Genomic DNA, 18,293 nt, shown 5'->3' on the forward strand with positions numbered 1-18,293 from the left:
CCCACCTCTCCTCCCTCTTCTTTCTCCCTCCCTCTCGCACCTTTCCTCCCCCTCCTTCTTCCTCCTCTGTCTTTCTTCTTTCTTGCTTATTTTTCTACTAGGCAGAAAAATAAGAAGAGGAGGAAAAGTATCTCACACAAGGTGTTTTAGATGGATAGAGTAATTTTCTCATTCCTTCCCACACCCTTCTCTCTTTCTCTTCTAAAAGAATAAATGACTTTATTTCTTTTAGCTCACCCACCTCAATCCCTTTCATCTTGATTTACCTGTTGGGGTGGAAGAAGCAGAGCTGGATATAGCTTCACTAACGGGTAATACTTTTCTTGGTAGTTCTAGCAAGAGGTTACCAACACAAAAATTTATAACCTCAATAATAGAGTTATTCAGAAGCAGTTTTTTTTACAGACCCTGTATGAGTCACACAGAGCAAAAACACTTCGCTGACATTTAAACGATATTTTAAAGCAAGATTTAAACTGTTTTCCTTACACTCATTATCAATGTTAGGATATTTTCTCAGTACTATTGCAGAATTTGTGCTGATCTATCCACACAGTTGCAACTGCGTTCCCCTTGAGACCAAGGATACATTCTGACAAGGTGGTAAAGATAGAAGCTAAGAGGACCACTTAAAAATCACTTAAAACTTGTAGATTTTTAACTGATTCAGTCAAACAGCTATATTGATACTATTTGGTCACTTGCTTACCATGAAAATATCCCTGAACAACTTGGATTTATAATGCATGATTTAATAGGTCAGCGCTCAAAAGAAAATAATCCAGGGTTGTAAACAATATTTTGACTGTCAACTAAATTTAAATATATCCATTACTGGAATCTTATTCAATGGTTTTAAACACAGATATATATTTTAATTTAAAGTAGTACATTTTAAAATATGAAATTTCCTTTATGGTCAAATATTTAAATCCTTGTAAAATTTAAAATATTACCACTGAATTTGAATAATCATCTTAAACCTTTGGGCCTTTTGATTTTCCCTGAGAGAATTAAAAACGTGTTTTAAAGAAATAGGTAGAAATGCTATGATTAAGGTACTACATTCATTTGGGTCACGATTCTTGGTACAGAGTGGTTGTTTATTAACATTATTTTTATTTTAAAAAAACCCAGTAAAATTATTGATTTGTTTTGGGGAAAAGTATTTCTAAGAAATCTTTAGCTTTCTGTTCAACTTGATAACTCTGTCCATGAAAATGGTGTGTGCTGTGGAGGGGAAGTCTTTCAACACCAAAAGCCACAAATTCCCCAGAATTTGCAGTGCTCTAGCACAAAGGAGGGAGTAAAAAAGGAGCATTTGAAACTGTCAAAATGTAAATGACACATTTAAGGTACATTCATCTGGCACAGTAACACCTTACAATTTTTTTTTATCACACCTCACATATTCAGTTTCCATCATTTTCAAAACGTGACATTTTAATATAGGATTTTATGACTTTGAGATTTTGCCCATTTATAGACACCTATCTTGATACTGTACAATAAACTTCTGTCTTCTTTTCCTGGACTAGATTTGAAGCCTGGGTTAAGTTTGTGTTAAGGTTGCCCCTTCCCTGGCTGCCAAGACGACCAAAGAGAGGCCCTTGGGATTCTCTTCTTGGCCTGCACACTAGAGGTGCTCCATCCACCTTCCATCTCGCCCTCCTCACCACAACGCGCCAAAGAGACCAGTCCAAAGAAGAAAGCTGTGAATAAAACTGCTCTTCCATTTCCTCCTCAGGACCAAACCCGTGATATCTGATATCCTTAAGTTACCACCAAATAGGTAATCTGCCGAGGTCCCCCTTACTGCTTTTTACCCATAAAGCGTTTGTTTGTCTCCTATGTTGACGCAGCTCCCAAAAACTTCTTTATTCCGCAAGCCCCTTCACTCTGCCCACTGGAAAAAAACCTCTTCCTATGAACATCTCCTTTACCTTCCTGATCTAACTTAGGATTTACTCAACCTTGGCACTACTGACATTCTGGGTCGGATCATTTGTTGTGGGCTGACCTGTGTGTTGTGGGATATTTAGCAGTATCCCTGGTCTCTACCTACTAGAATCCACTAGAGCACCCCCAGACTCCCACCAGCTGTGACAGCCCAAACTGCTTCCAGACATTGCCAAATGTCTTCTGACCCAGGGGGAAGGGGGTATCACCCCCAGCTGAGAACCACTGATTTAACCACTGTTGGGATTGTGTCCTTCTTGCTCTGCCCCTTCCCCCTCAAAAAACTAAAGCTCCTTTAAACATATGCCACCATCCTACTAACCTTTTGTTCTACTAGTGGCCTTTTGTTATATCTACTGAGCTCCTGGTCACCTCTTTTCTTTTGATGGAGATTTTAGCCCATGGCTCTGTCTCTCCGTCCCTCCCTCTCAAATATTACTCTGCTGATTGCTGTCCTGTAACTTTCATATCCAAAAAGATCTACTAAAACCTCTGGCCTCTAAGTTACTTGATCCTCCTGATCCAAGTTAAACCCAAATATCGGCCCATTTTACATATGAGGAGCAGAACGTCATTGGAAAAAAAAAAAAAAACATGCAACCCTTCTATTGGCCTCACCTCAAATTGACGACTGGAAATTTCACCTTACTTGACTATCCTATAATATTCCTGGAGTCAGTTTGCTCTCCCCCTCTCTCTGAGACTATTTCATACCTCTTTTTTTCTCAAAAACTCCAGTACTGCCTCTTCTCTTGCTCTTCTTAACGACTTTGTTTCTTAATTCATTGAGAAAAATAGAAGTACTGAGAAGAGGGCTATTGTATTCTACTACCACTAACTTGACTAACTTACTTGTAGGCATCCGCAACTTTGTATTTTTTCCCTTCCTTCCTGTCACAATGATTCTGTTCCCACTCCTCTCTAGGGTCACCCTGTGCCCTTGCATATCTCCCTTCATCTGTTTTCAATGACCCAACGACCTTGTCCCTTTACTTTTCCCCTTTGCTTGCGCATCATTCATACACCCCTCTCTACCATCAACATATACACACGCTGTACTATCTTCCATCGAAACAACCACAACCTGATCTCTACATATTGGCATGACTCAATCCTATGCTTTTTTTCCCCTCTCCTCTCCTCTTCTCCCTTCCCCTCTCGTCCTCTTTTTGCCTTCTCTATCAATATTTACTCTCTAAATGGTCTAAATGAGTTCTGCAGCCTTTAATAAAATTTATATGCTAATGATTGCAATTGATACCTCTACTTTTTATTTTTAGCTCCAAGTTTATATATCCAGCTGCCATTTAATTGGATGCCTCACCAGCACTTTCAACTTCACATGTCCAAATGTGAACTTCTGATTACCCCCTAAAACCTTTACTTTTCTAGTGTTAACACTTCCTGTAACTTGAAAAAGATGCTCTGGCTGAAAATCCAGAAGTCATGTTGATTGTGTCTTCTCTTCTTCCCACCCCATATCCCTCATCAAGTCTTGTCAGCTCTACCTTCAAAACAAGTCACAAATTTGAACTCCATCCACTATTATTTCCTAGTCTAAGCCACCATTATCTCCCGGGCTACCACAGTAAGTCTCCTAACTGGTTTCTCTGCTTCCACTTTTACTCCCCTAGAGAATCTTCTTCACACATCTGATACAGTACTCTTTTAAAACTTGTAAATCAGATTTTGTCACTTCTCTGCTCAAAATTGTTCACCAGAGTTCTATCACATTTGGTATAAAAGTCCATGTCCTACTGTGTCCTGGGCAGATCTGGACTCTACCTGTGATGGTTAATTTTATGTGTCAACTCAGCTGATACACACACACACCACACACACACGCACACAAGAATCATGTGTCATTTAATAAGAAGGTTACATTCTGAGAAATGTATTGTTAGACAATTTCATCATTGTCCATACATCTTAGGGCGTACTTACGCTAACCTAGATGGTACAGCCTACTATACAACTAGGCTATATGGTCTAACTTGTTGCTCCTAGGCTACAAACCTGTACAGCATGCGACTGTACTGAACACTATCATAGCACACTGGCAAGTATTTGCATACCAAAACCTATCTAAACACGGAAACATATCTAAACATACCTGCACAGTAGAAATACAGTATTGTAATCTTATGGGACCACTTTCATATATTTAGTCCGTCATTGACTGAAACGTTGTTATGCAGCACGTGACTCTATCTATCTATCTGTCTGTCTGTCTGTCTGTCTGTCTGTCTATCTACCTACCTACCTACCTACCTATCTATCTCCCATTGGTTCTGTTTCTGTGCAAACCCTGACTAATTCACTACCAAGTCTCATTTTTGCTTATTGCTCTCCTCCCCCCTCACTTTGCCCTGGCCACACTGGCCTTCTTGCTGTTTATCAAGCACACATGGCTCCTTTCAGCTCCTTGGTCTTTGCTCTTGCTGATACCCCATCGCCTGTGCTTTGGACATGTTTGGCCCCCTCACCAGCCACTGTGCACGTGACATGAATGGAAGCAAGCACGGCATCAGTTATCATGCCAGTCAAAGAAATGTTTGTGTCCATTGAACTTGCTTTACTGATAATTAGATCACGAGGGCACCTTGAAAAATACAACTTATAAGTCACCAGCCATTGCTAGAGATTTTATAATTCAAGTGGCTGCTACAGGACCCTGCACCTGACAGAATCTCAATGCAACACCTCTTGGGACATTTTGAGAACTCTGCCTGTGCTTTTGTGGCACAAATCAATGACTAATCTCAAAAGAGACTTTGTAATCCCGTCCGTCACCAATTAAATAATGCCTTTCAGAATCCTACCTCATTTGACAACACTTCTTTTTTGACTCTGTCTGGGTCTTCTGCTTGGGAAGACTTGGGGAGACTTACTGAACTCACTTTGGCATGACACGATTTTCCTTTGTCTGGTGAGCAATACATTCAGCTTTGGTTTTTCAGCTCTGCTGCTCCGGTTATTTCAATATGACAGTACCTTAATGATTTCATTTTCTTCCCCTTTACTGTTTTAGGCCTTCAAAACATTTTTTTAGGAGTTTCAGTATTTACTGGTTGGTCTCTTTGTTTTCCTGAGTCCCTTTGTGGAAACATGGTAAATTCTCTTCTGAGAAAGGAAGGATTTTACTGACCTGGATTTAGGGACAATCCCCCAACTGTTTTAGGTAGTTTGCTCTGAAATATTATTATATAAAATTTCATTCCTGAAACCCCATCAAATCTGAACCCTTTTCGGGCATTCCTGAACTCTCCCCTCCCCCACCAAAAAACCCCAAATCCCCTAAACTTTAATTACTATAGCTATTTATTTTGGTCCCTCTCTGTGGGTGAGATTTACATTAATTAGAGTATAATGAAGCCTGCCCTTTCAAACAAATGGATTCCTTTGTTTGCGCTCATTTGGGCAAACCAACTGCACTGTGTGTGATTTCGCAAAAGGAAGGCACTGAAAACAGCTCATACGAAACCAGACCCCCAGACCTAACCTTCCCCATCCTTCCCAAGATACCTGCAGCGTTACACACTTGAGATTTGTGAAGAGACCTGTATAAATATGTTTTTGGTCTTGTTGTTTTCCTACCTGCAGAAGAGACACATTTTCTCAGAAAACATTTCCTTCTCTGCGGCTTTCTGGTTAGTATTCAGGCCAGCACCTCTGTTATCAGACGGTGGCAACAAAGCTTTTCCGCCTGAATCTTCTGCGAGGTGGCGGGGGAATGGATTGCACAGTAATGAGCTGTTTTTGCAGGCTTCCTTCGGGAGCCTTTTCTTATATCCCTTGGCAAGAGGAGCTAATTCAAAACAGCTAACCCAACCCTTGGGCATCTAAAATTCACAGAAATTCAGCCGACTTGACAGGAAGAGGGTCTCCCTGAAAATCGGTACTGTAAATCAGAGCTTTGTTCTCTGAGGGAAGGGGTGGCTAGAGGTTTTCTGGCACCTCTCGTATAACCTTATATAAGACTTTTATCCCTATTGCTGTTTTAAAGCCAACTGAAGATGGTAGGGTGCGTGCTGGGAGCTGCTTTTCTTTCCTGATTATGCTGTTTCATCCTCTACGCAACATGAACTGAGAGTCTCAAAGCGTTTCTTCCTGGAGAGGCAATCACAGACTTTTACTTTTCATGAACTTGACCAGATAGACTTAATCTTCTTGAGGGCAGGGCCAGCGATTTTTATTTTTATATCTCCAGTAGCTAACACAGAGGCCGGCACTTAGTAGACCCTCAGTGTATACTCGGCGGATGTCGGATGGCTGATGGGGCTAGCAGTGGCTGTGCTGATTCTGTTTACGTAGCAAGCATTGCTGCTGCCTTGCTGATGTTGGTGCTCAGGTGTTACCTCGGCATGTGCTCCCATTTCTTTTGGCTCCAGCCTGCAATTGCTTTTCTCTCCTGTCTCCAGTTGTTAGTTCTCCTTCTTTCCATCAAAATATGATGACTTCCCATCCTTATAGACTTCTCTGTCTCCAACCTAAGTAATCTGCTACACACACACACACACACACATACACACACAGACACACATCTCCTCATTCTTTTGTAGGTTACTTTTTTGTAGGTTCTAATTTCCTTCTCCTCCACCCTCACACCACATCTTCCCCTTCACCCTCAAGGGTTTCCCCATTCTTTCAACCCAAAATGATCCTCATTCATCCCAGGTTCTGCTTTGATTTCCACCTTTTCTTAGTCCCCATCCTATGCTTTTGATGGGTTTTACCCCTTCATCCTCTGGCAACTTCCTTTTATTTACATATTTCTTAACTTGCTGAAGGTTGGAATCGAAAAGGGGTGGTCTTTACCTTTTAGATTTATATTGCTAACCAGTGAAATACGCCAACAATGGTGCTTTAATGGGTACAATGGTAGAAATTGCATATGTTCCCTTTGAATATGTGGGATAATTATTAAGAGGGCTAGCTGAAAAACATCATAGTATTTTGTTTGATTTAAACTACTGGTCTCAACTAGGGACAATTTTGCTGCCAAGGGGACATTTGGCAATGTGTAGAGACATTTTTAGTTGTCACAACTGGGGGCTAGGAGCAGGGATACAGAAGGATGCTACTGGCATCTAGTGGGTAGAGGCCAGGGATGCTACTAAACATCCTAAGGTACACAGGACAGCCTCCACTACAAAGGCTTTTTGGGGCCAATATGTCAATAGTGTCCGGGTTGATAAACCTTGGCTTATACCTTCTCTTCCTTTCTCGGGACCTTTCTGCCCTGTCTCTTGATGCCCTGGGTCCTCGCAACCTAATCGTGTCACTGTGTCTCGTGGCCCTAATTGCTGTGTTTGCCCACTGCCTAGAGAGCACCCCATGCCTGGTTTTAACCTCCACAGTGAAAGCTAACCATGAACATTCTTCAGTTTGTGGAATCCTGGCTAGTGGGAGCAGGAAGGGCCTTTACAAGCTTTTATAATCTGCCTTCTGACTCTTCAGAGTAAAGAGAAGTGACTTTGCTAAGATCACACAGCTACCCCCAGGCTGGTCTGGGGGCTATGGCCCTGGTGGCCCTTTTCCCAGCCCTCTTCTGTTTATACTCACTGCTTTTGGTCAAAAAGGGAAATACAAGCTAACAGCTTGGACAAGGGCAAGAATCAGATTGACTGGTCTCGTCCAAACAGGGATGTAATTGTGCACTTCTCAGTTTGCTGGGTTGCTATGAAAACACGTTTTTCAGAATTTCATCCTTTGGGGCTTTCTCAAGGGTCACTGCTGGCTGCAAGTTATGGCCGATGTACCTTACTGTCCTCTTAGAGGGGATGCGGTGACTTGACCAGGTAAAACACAATTCTAAGCAGGTCATTAGAAATGAAAATTTGGGGAAGGCAGAACTGCCACTTCTCTTTATCTCAGGCCATGTAGTCAGCTGTGCACTAGGTCGAGAAGTACCTGAATCTGGGGTGGAAAGGAGCGTAAACCCAAATCTTCTGCAATAAAGAGCCACAATTTGAGACGATTACAAGGCAAACTGGGGCAACTTCCGTGTATTCTCTCCTTCACCTCTCCCCAAACAACCACATTTTATCAGTGAGCCAAAGTGTTTTTGGAGGAGAGGGAGAAGGGCTGGACTAATGTTTTTCCAAGTAAGGTCCTTTGACCTAGAGGCCTCAGAATGGCTTGGGATAGGTGTAAAAATGCATATTCCCAGCCCTTCCTAGATCGACATTTACTAGTTCTGAGCGGGGGGAGGCAAACACTGAAAGTATTATTAAGCTGCCAGGGCATCCTTCTGTAGTTGTAAGTTTAAGAACCACTGACCCAGACTCTTGAATAATAAAGCTTTTTCTCCCTGAAACAATTCCACAAAGTCAGAAGCTTTTGGACAATGCGTGAATCTCAGAGAGAAAACCTGCTACTAAAAAAGAAAAACAAAAAAACCTGGCTCTTTTGGTCAGATATTATGGTCATAAGGTGGCTGAGTTGGCTTGGAGCTTTGAAGATGTAAAGGCCACAAAGCATCAGGCTTTGCTCCTTTTAAAGTTTTGAAAGAGTTGGAACTGACCTTCTTTTGCTCTCTTGGCACCTTTGGACACCCTTTGAGGAGACCTGTGAGTAAAGAGAAAGTTTTCCTTGGGGGCTGCTTATTACCTACCTCTCCAAGGGCCCTGAAGGTGCCTGCTCACTGATCTACCTTGAATAGATATCTACATGTTTTAATTAAGAATACTCACAGGCGTTGACCACGTTCCTCATTTCAACAGTAATGCTCCTTGGTTTTTTTACTTTCCCCTAAGCATGAATCACTTTCCAGGGGCGATGACTCTTCATCTATGCAGCTAGCCACATTTCCTGGGTTGGCGCTTCTGTTTATTTACTTGTATTTTGTTGGACCAAGTTTTAAACACAGCCCTCCTCCTTTTCCTCTTTCCAAAACCCTTAGCCACTTGCAGAATGGAAGCTGTCATGCTCTTTTGTTACCCCACTATCCAATAAGCACAACGCTTCCCTAAGCATAGACCATGTTCCCTTTTCCTTTCAGAAAGAGATGCAGAACACAAATTCTGCTGCTTTGTGCATATAAGCTGTGTAATTATCTGACCTTAGGTGATCGTTGCTTTATTTTTTAAATTTTGGAGCGGAGAGAAAAGTGAAGGGTGACAGTACCCAACTGAGTCCTACAAACTCCTCTAAAACAAATTTCCAAATTTTGAGATCAATCAGATCCACTAGCTAGTCCCTTATTCTCTGCTGTTTGTCTGCTTCCTTACCCCAGGACCTTTGCACTTGCTCTTCCCAGCTTCCTATGCTCTTCATCAGATATTCACTGGGCTAGCCCTGCTCATTTGCTTCCTGCAGCTCTCTGCCCAAATGTTCCTTCTTCATGGAGGCCTTCTCTAACCATCCATCCCATGGTGCTCCCTCTTCTCCTTTCCCTGCTTTAGTTCTCCCCACACATGACAAATTCCGTACAGTTCTCTGTGTGCATTTCCCCCACCATAAGGCAAATTCCCTGAGGGCAGGGTCTTGTCTGTTCAATGCTGTAGTCTCAGCACCGACACCAGTGCCTGGCATATAGTAGACACTCAAGCAGTACTGGATGTGTGAATGAATGAATAAACGGATGTAGAAATGAGGCCCAAACGACTCTCTTCTTTGTATATAAATTCTTCCCAGAACGAACATGCATGTAAGGAGAGAAGTCATGAGCTACAGGAGTCTGATAAAGATGGGCCTTCCACCTACCTCTAAGCCTGTGCTGATGGTTTCTCTTCACTAGCAACTGCTGTGACCAGAAACCATGGGAGGCTTCAAACAAATAATAACAGAGAAGAATCCTTTCACTTTCATTGGTAGAAAACTTCAGATCAAGCAGGCATAGCAGACGCTGTCTGTTTCTGCCTACTGAACCAATATTTGAATCTCAGGATTCACTATCAAACAAGGAAGATTGGGCAAGATATAAAACTAAACACATGTATTCTTGGCCTCCATTATTAACATTATTTCCTGCAGAATATGCCACACTCAAATGCATGCATCTTTTTGATAACGCCACTTTTCCACACACGGCAACTAAAGAACAGGATTACATGTGCGTGTATTTATAATATATGAAAATATATATACGGTACAGGGACAAATCATTCCTTATTGTGGGTGTTATTGTACATTTGGAATGTTCAGCAGCACCCCTGGCATCTACCCACTAGAAGCCACTAATATCTTCCTCTTAGTTATGACAACCCAAACTGTCTCCAGACACTGCCAAATATCCTTCGGGGGATGGGTCAAAATCACCCCCAGCTGAAAATCACTGAGTTAAACGAAGAAGACAGACTCTCAGGACTTCTGAGTCAGTAGGCCTGGGATGGGGCCTGGGAATATGTGCTTTAAAACAGTTCCCCCAGTTAAATGTGATAATCTGCTTGAGTTGAGAACAACTGCCCAATTTATTCTCCTTGGTGATGACAGCATGTTCCTCATTCTAAGGTCCTGGCAAGGATCCAGTTTTCAACTAACTGAAAGTGGAATGTCAGAAAAATATACATCCAAGAAAAAAATAGAGGAAAGGAAGGTATTGCTATTTCCCTTCCACTTTTCCCTCTCCGTGAAGTGAGAGACACTGACTCTGACACAAACTAAATTGTCAAGTGACAAAATCGGAAGCAGTGTTGTCTCACACATGAAACGAAGAAATAAATAGAAATGGAAGTGTGTGCTTTTAACAGTCCGTAGACACCCGGGCACTCTGACTGATACCATGAGGAGACCCGGGACTTTTGCTCAGTGTCATAGTGATGGAGTTTAGAGCAGTCCCTGACAAAGCAGATAATCAACAGTCCATGGAGTTAAGAATCTAAAAGGAAAACGGCAACTCAGAAGACGTGGCTCTAACATTTGACCTCTTAGCCATTAATTTTGATGTGGCTGTTTTTAAGGCCTTCTTTCCATTCCTGCAGCTCTCTAAATCGTGACCTGGCACGCAGTGCCACTTATTTTTTGCCTCCAAAGTGGATAATCAGAGATAGCATTATGGAGATGGAGAGACCACATACATCTACAGCATCCTTGTGTATAACGCATCTCTTTTTTTCTCTCTCTGTCTTTTCTTTTCTTGTACACATGTGGATACTATTTACATTTAGGTTGAACCATAGGAAACTGCCATTTTTGGACATTTAAAAAAATGATAGAATATTGACATTTTATGTAGATAATCTTAATCTTTCCTATGTCTCCTTCTTCCCCTGACCCCCTTTCTCTCTCTGTCTCTCTCTCTCTATGTCTCTTCATGGCTCTATCCTCTATTTTCCTGCCTTTGCAAGCACATGTGTACTACCCAGAATACCAGCTGTGAAGGTCAATAGATGTTACTGGGAAAAATTAAGAAAAAGAAGAGGTTTCCAAATTTCAATAACTGTTAATTTGAAAACCCACTGATGCACTTCATATATCTGGAGGGGAGGTCCTCTGGTCCAGCATAGCCAAAGACGTGTGAAATTCTTGATCCTACCAAATGGAACGGTCCTGAAGAGAACGTTAATGTGTTTGTGTCACCATTCCCGCCTTTGCATAGTATTGCTTTTTTCTTTCTTATTGAGCTCTCAGATTCCAAGGAATTTCTCCAGGTGTGGGGATGTAGTACTAGAGGAATTAAGACTCTGTGGGGCAAAAATCTCTATATATGTACTGACCAATAAACAAAGCCAGACAAACAAGCTATGTTGTACTGCCTGGTATACAGTTTCCTGTCAAAGCTTACTTTCCGGGTTAGAGCTCAGGCTTTTGCAGCATCTTTGTGAGCTTCTATAAGTGGACCTTGTTGACTGTCCTCACTCTGCTTGCCAACCCCACTTCTGTCTCCTGGATCACAAATGGGATCTGTCACCTTCTCATGGATGTTACACTTCAAGTCACAATTCCTTTGTTCCTCTGTGCATCACATGCTTACTTTCTCTTCATCCCTTATACACATGCATGTGTGCATTCACACATGGTTCACATAGCCACATTCTTAGTAATTTACATGTCAAATATTATGTTTTCCTGTTGTGATTTGGACAATACAGGAAAGCATAGAGAAGAAAATAATAATTGCTCCTACTCCAAAATAAACACTGGTAACATTTTAGTTCATGTTCTCAGGTTTTAATGCATATATGTTACATTGGGGTCATACCGTATGCAATATTACAACATCTATTCACTTAATCTTCAGAGCATTTTCTCATTTACTATTATTTCAAAGGATGCTTTTTAATATATGCATAGTATTACTTTTATATGGTGTGTCTGCTCTTGTGTTATTAATCATTTATTTTTAATAGTTTGTAATTTATTAAATATGATGCATTAGTGGACTTTGTTGTATATACCATTTATTATACCCTTCACTATTTTATTAAAATAAATTTATGGAAATTGTATTACTGGGTTAGAAGTTATGACCTTTGTCAAAGCTCTTGATATATATTTCCAATTTACATCCCAAAAAGTTTGTATCAATTTACATTTTTACCATCAGCATAAAGAGGCCCTTGTTTCTCTGTATTTTTCCCACTTTGATTGGGAGAATATATGTTATTTAAATTTGCACATTGTTGATTTCTACGACTGGACTCTCATATTACTTGCCCTTTGTATTTCTTTGTGAATTGTCCATGTCTGGACTTTATCTTAAAGGCAAAGGGAAGACACTAAACATTTTTAACTCGGGGAGTAACTAGATTAGTATTTTCAAAAGCTCATTTTGATAATAGTAAAGAGAATCGATCAGATTACAAACAGGGAAATAAGTCAGGAGACTGGTAGTGATCTTGGTAAGAGATGATGGCGACCTGCCCTAGAGTGATAGTAATGGGACTGGAGGAAACTGAATGGTTCAAAAGATATCCAGGAGGTAGAATATATGGGATTTTTTAGACATAGGTCATCAGGGTGAGGTACTGGACCACAGTTTCTCAACGCTGGCACTATTGATATTTGAGGCTGGATCATTCTTTGTTGTAAGGGAACGTCCTGTGCCGTGTAGGATGTTTAGCAACATCCCTAGCTTCCGCCTGCTAGATGCAAATATCACCTCTTTCCCCAGGGTGACAACCAAAACTTTCTCTAGACATCGACAAATGTTTCTGGATGCCAAAATGGGCTCTGGCTGAGAACTACTGGACCAGTCAATGATGATTTCCAAGATGTGGGCTTGGGTAACCCAGAAAGGGAACATGGAGAGGGGAGCAGATTTCAGTGGAGAGGAAAGCGGTGATTCACATACAGTTTTGGACATGTTGATTTTGAATTAATTGTAGGAAAGACAGTAGTAGGCAATTATAATAGTATGGGCTCTGAAGATCTGGCCTGGTGATAGCTTCTGAGCCTTTGGCATACAGATGATGATCAATGGGAATGAGTAAAGTGAGAAGGGAACTGGGCTTAGGGTAGAAAGAACATGGAAGGTTCTCAACATTTAAGAAAGAAGAAAAATATATCAAGGGAACTCATAAGGGGTTATCAGAGAGGCAGGTGGAAAACTAGAAGAGTGAGGTGTCATGGAGAGCAAGGTAAGAGACGTAGAAGTAGCAGAAGCCTCTTATTGTGTCACGTGCTGCGAGAAGTCAATTACAATAAGGAATTCACTGGAGCTAGTGGGCAGGAAACTCTTAATCATCTTGGCAACAGCCATTTCAATTGAGTATTGGGGTAGGAAGCCAGACTGAAGTTGGTCAAGTGGTCTCTGGGAGGTCAAGAAGTAAAAGCAGAGAGATGAACTATTCTTTAGGAAGATTTGTTGACAAAATTTTCTATTCAGTAGCTAGAGAACTAAGTGGGGCTGAGGGAAGATTTGTTAATTTTTTTTTTTTTTTTTTTTTTTTTTTTTTTTTTTTTTGAGATGGAGTCTTGCTCTGTCGCCCAGGCTGGAGTGCAGTGGTGCGATCTCGGCTCACTGCAAGCTCCACCTCCCGAGTTCATGCCATTCTCCTGCCTCAGCCTCCCTAGTAGCTGGGACTACAGGCACCCACCACCACGCCCGGCTAATTTTTTATATTTTTAGTAGAGACGGGGTTTCACTGTGTTAGCCAGGATGGTGTTAATTTTAATTTTTAAAATTAAACTTGTAATTTTGACATAATGGTGGTAGATTCACATGTAGTTTTAAGAAATAATACTGAGAGATCCATGTACCCTGTACTCAATTTCTCCCAATGATAACAGCTTTCAAAACTATAGTAGAAATATCAGAACCAGGATATTGACATTGATATAATCCACCAAACTTATTCAAAACTTCCCAAATTAACCTGTACTTGTGTGTGTGTGTGTGTGTGTGTGTGTGTGTGTGTGTATACTCTATTTAGTTCTATGTAGTTTTATCATGTGTAGAGTTGGGTATCCACCACCAGTCAAGATACAAAGGCCAGGCGCGGTGGCTCAAGCCTGTAATCCCAGCACTTTGGGAGGCTGAGGCGGGCGGATCACAAGATCAAGACATTGAGACCATCCTGGCCAACATGGTGAAACCCCATCTCTACTGAAAATATGAAAATTAGCTGGGTGTGGTGGCACATGCCTGTAGTCCCAGCTACTCAGGAGGCTGAGGCAGGAGAATCGCTTGAACCCGGGAGGCGGAGGTTGCAGTAAGCCGAGATCGTGCCACTGCACTCCAGCCAGGGCGACAGAGTGAGACTCTGTCTCAAAAAACAACAAAGAACAACAACAACAAAAAACATTTACCTCATATTGCCCCTTATAACCACATGTGCCTCCCTCCCACACTCCCACTCCAACCTTAACCCCTAGCAAACACTGCTGTTCTCTATAATTCCATCATTTAAAATGTTATATAAATGGAATCATAGAATACATAGCCTCATGGAATGGGCTTTTTACACTCACCAAAGTTCCTGGAGATTCACCCAAGTTATTGTTTGTATCAATAGTTCATTCCTTTTTATTACTGAATAGTAGTCCATGGTATAGATGTATTATAGTTTGTTAAAACATTCACCCCATTGAAGAACATCCAGGTTGTTTCCAGTTGCTATAAACACTAGCTCACAGGGTTTTGTGTTTGCACACGTTTTCCTTTATCTGGGGTAAATGCCCAAGAGTGCAATTGCTGGGCCATATAGTATTTGCACTTTCAGTTTTATGAGAAACTGCCAAAATGTTTTCTAGAGTGGCTGTACCATTTTACGTTCTCACTAGCAGTGTAGGAGTGATTCAGTTTCTCTGCATCTTCATCAGGATTTGATGTAGTCTCTTTTTTTTTTTTTTTTAGTCATTCTGAGAGATACATAGTAATATTACATTGCGGTTTTTATTTGCATTTTTCTAATGACTAACGATGTTGAACATCTTTCCTATGATTACCTGCCATCTTCAGTGAAACAGCTGTGTATGTCTTTTGCCCATTTTCTTTTTTTTTCTGTTGACTTTTGAGAGTTCTGGATTCTATATACTTGCCCTCGAGAGTTCTGTATTCTATATACTTCTTGGATATGTTATTTGCAAGTATTTTACCTCAGCAGCCTATAGCTTTTCTTTTCACAGGTTCTTCGACGAGTGAAAGTTTTAATTTCAATGAGGTTCAGGTTATCACTTTTTTTCTTTTATGACTCATCATTTTGTTTTTGTTATCATTGTGTTTTTCAGACAGAGACTTGCTCTGTCTCCAGGCTGGAGTGCAGTGGCATGATCAGAGCTCACCGCACTCCAGCCAAAATGCACTCAAATTCCAAAATCATGGGCTCAAGTGATCCTCCTGCCTCAGCCTCCTGAGTAGCTAGTTCCACAGGTGGGTGCCATCACACCTGGCTAATTTTTTGTTTGTTGGTTTTTTGTAGAGACAGGGTCTCACTATGTTGCCCAGGCTGTTCTCGAACTCCTGGGCTCAAGTGATCCTCATGCCTTGGCCTCCCAAAGTGCTAGGATTATAGGCGTGAGCCACCGTGCCCAGCCTGGATCATGCTTTTGGCATCAATTATAATAATTCTTCACTCTAGCCCTAGGTCTATTTTATCCTATATACTTTGTAAAAGTTTTTATAGTTTTATGTTTTATACTTAACTCCATGAGCCATTTAGTTAATTTTTGTATAATATATAAAGTTTAGGTAAAAGCTTTTTAGAAAAACCTATAAATGTCCAATTGCTTCAGTACAGTTTATTAAAAAGTATCTTTAATTTTTTTTAAGATGTAAAAGATTTGAGGATATATAAAGGCTGATGGAAAGTAGCTATTGGAAAAGCATGAGGTCAAGGGCAGACAAATCCAGGAGTAATAGTGGCACAGGTCCTTGAGAAGGTGAGAGGGAATGAGGTCCAGTTTCATCACTTTAGGTATAATGTGTGACAAGTGCAAAGAAGAGGAAGAGTTTCATTGTCATATTTTCGTCTTGTCAGAATCATTTGGGATTATGGGGATTATAGTCGGAATTGCAATTTTGAGAAACTCACAATATATTTGATTCATCTTTCCTTCTCGAATCTCATACTATAGAATCATGTCAATCTTTTACTCAAATCTCATAGGGGTCAATAAATTCAATCCCATGGTTATTAATTTAGTATATACTTCATGTTCAATATGTAGTAAGTGACATGGGGAGTTGCCACATAGTACATGATTCTGCTCTTGAGGTGTTTATAATCAAGTTGAGAAAGCTGAAAGCAGTTAAAGAAATCAAAGAAAATGTATAAATATGTTGAAGTGCTAAAAACAGGTCCCCAGTTTCTTATCCAAAACATTTAGAGCCAGATGACCTTCAGGATTGAGAATTTTTTCCATTTTAGAGAAGTAATATGGTTTGAAAACTGTGTAATATGAATCAATGCCAGTGGGACAAGGCCACAGCTCCCAATAATCAAACTCTATATATATTAAAATACATATAAAATAAAATCTAAATATAATAAACGAAGACTGTAAATACAATAGGTTTGCTGCCAAATTAATTTGAACTGAACTTAAGAGGAAAAACAAAAGTTCTGTTTTTATGAGATGTTTGGGTTTCAGGATTGTGGGAAGGCATCGTGGACTTTTTTCCTGGGTATTAACTGATACAGGGAAAGGAAATGAGTATTTATGGTATAGGTAGAAACTTCCCATTTGTTTTCAGCCATAGAATCTGAGACTCAAAACAAGTAGCAACTCAGCATCATCTGGAAACTTGTAGGAAATGCAAATATCAGGGTCTACCCCAGACCTACTTGAGTGAAAAATCTATGGGTTGGGTTCCAGTAACCTGTGTTTTAACAGTGAATTCTGATGCACACTAACAATTTTTTTATTGTGTATATATAAGGTATACAGTATGATGCTTCGTCATATATATGCATAGTGAGATAGTGACTATAGTAAAGCAAATTCATATATCCATCCTCTCGCGTAGCTACCCTTTTCTGCTGAGAACCATTTATATAACAAGTAGGGGACGGAGAACCAGGAGTCAAATTCAGGTATTTCTGACTCAAAACTGAATGGGTTTTTGATGCTGTTTCCCTTGCTCTCAAAGTAGAATGAAGCAAGAGATTGATGTAAGCTCAGATGATAATGGTGACTTTAAAGAAGGTATGTTGAAATATACTTCACTTTAATCTAATAGATAAGAACAAAATAATTTTGTAATAGACACTCCTAGAAAACTATTCTGTCTCTTAATTATATATACTTCACTTTAATCTAATAGATAAGAACAAAATAATTTTTATAATATACACCCCTAGAAAATTAGTCTGTCTTATTTATAGCAGGAAAAAATTTGCATTGTAAAGTCCCTGTTTTATTTCCTCCATGTTAACATCTAGAAGATGGTACAATTTATTTTGCTATTTCTCTAAGATGAAGGTAGTAATTTAGCTTAATTGTGAAAATTAAGAGTTAGAAGCTGTGGAAGGAAAAGAGGTTCTCAAATATTCCTAAGATGGTTATTGATCTATTATTTGGTATCTTTGATTTGTATCAAAGATATGTATTTTCCTGATAACTTCACATGCCTTGCTTTCTACTTTAGCATAATTCTTAGTGTACATGTTGACAAATTTAAGAAAAAAATCCAATTGAAAACCATTACAATATCCTTTTGCCAGTAAACAATGGTTATTTGTGTGGTTCCAGCTCTACTGGGAAGGCAAGAGTCCATATCAATTAGGAGACTACAGGTTTTTACTTAAAAGGTAAGTAAAGACCCAGAGGAAAGGGGGAAATTGAGGACACTGATCATTTTGCTTCTTATTCACTGTCAAACAGGATGATTTAGTTCTGAAAGTGAGCAGGTAGCCATCAATATGGATGTGCTTAGAATGAGACCTAGCAAAATACAAACCTAATAGTCCCTTAGGATATGTCCCAATAACTCAGTGTCATATTGATCT

At 40.2% G+C, this 18,293-nt stretch overlaps 1 long non-coding RNA gene across 1 annotated transcript in view; it reads right to left on the reverse strand.

The window, feature by feature from the left end:
- Positions 1 to 18,293, reverse strand: part of PTCHD1-AS (PTCHD1 and PHEX antisense RNA) — a 1,100,142-nt gene that overhangs the window by 121,981 nt on the left and 959,868 nt on the right. The gene's annotated exons all lie outside the window — the stretch shown is intronic.

This window comes from Homo sapiens, chromosome X (assembly GCF_000001405.40).
Source record: "Homo sapiens chromosome X, GRCh38.p14 Primary Assembly".
NCBI classification, from domain to species: Eukaryota; Metazoa; Chordata; class Mammalia; order Primates; family Hominidae; genus Homo; species Homo sapiens.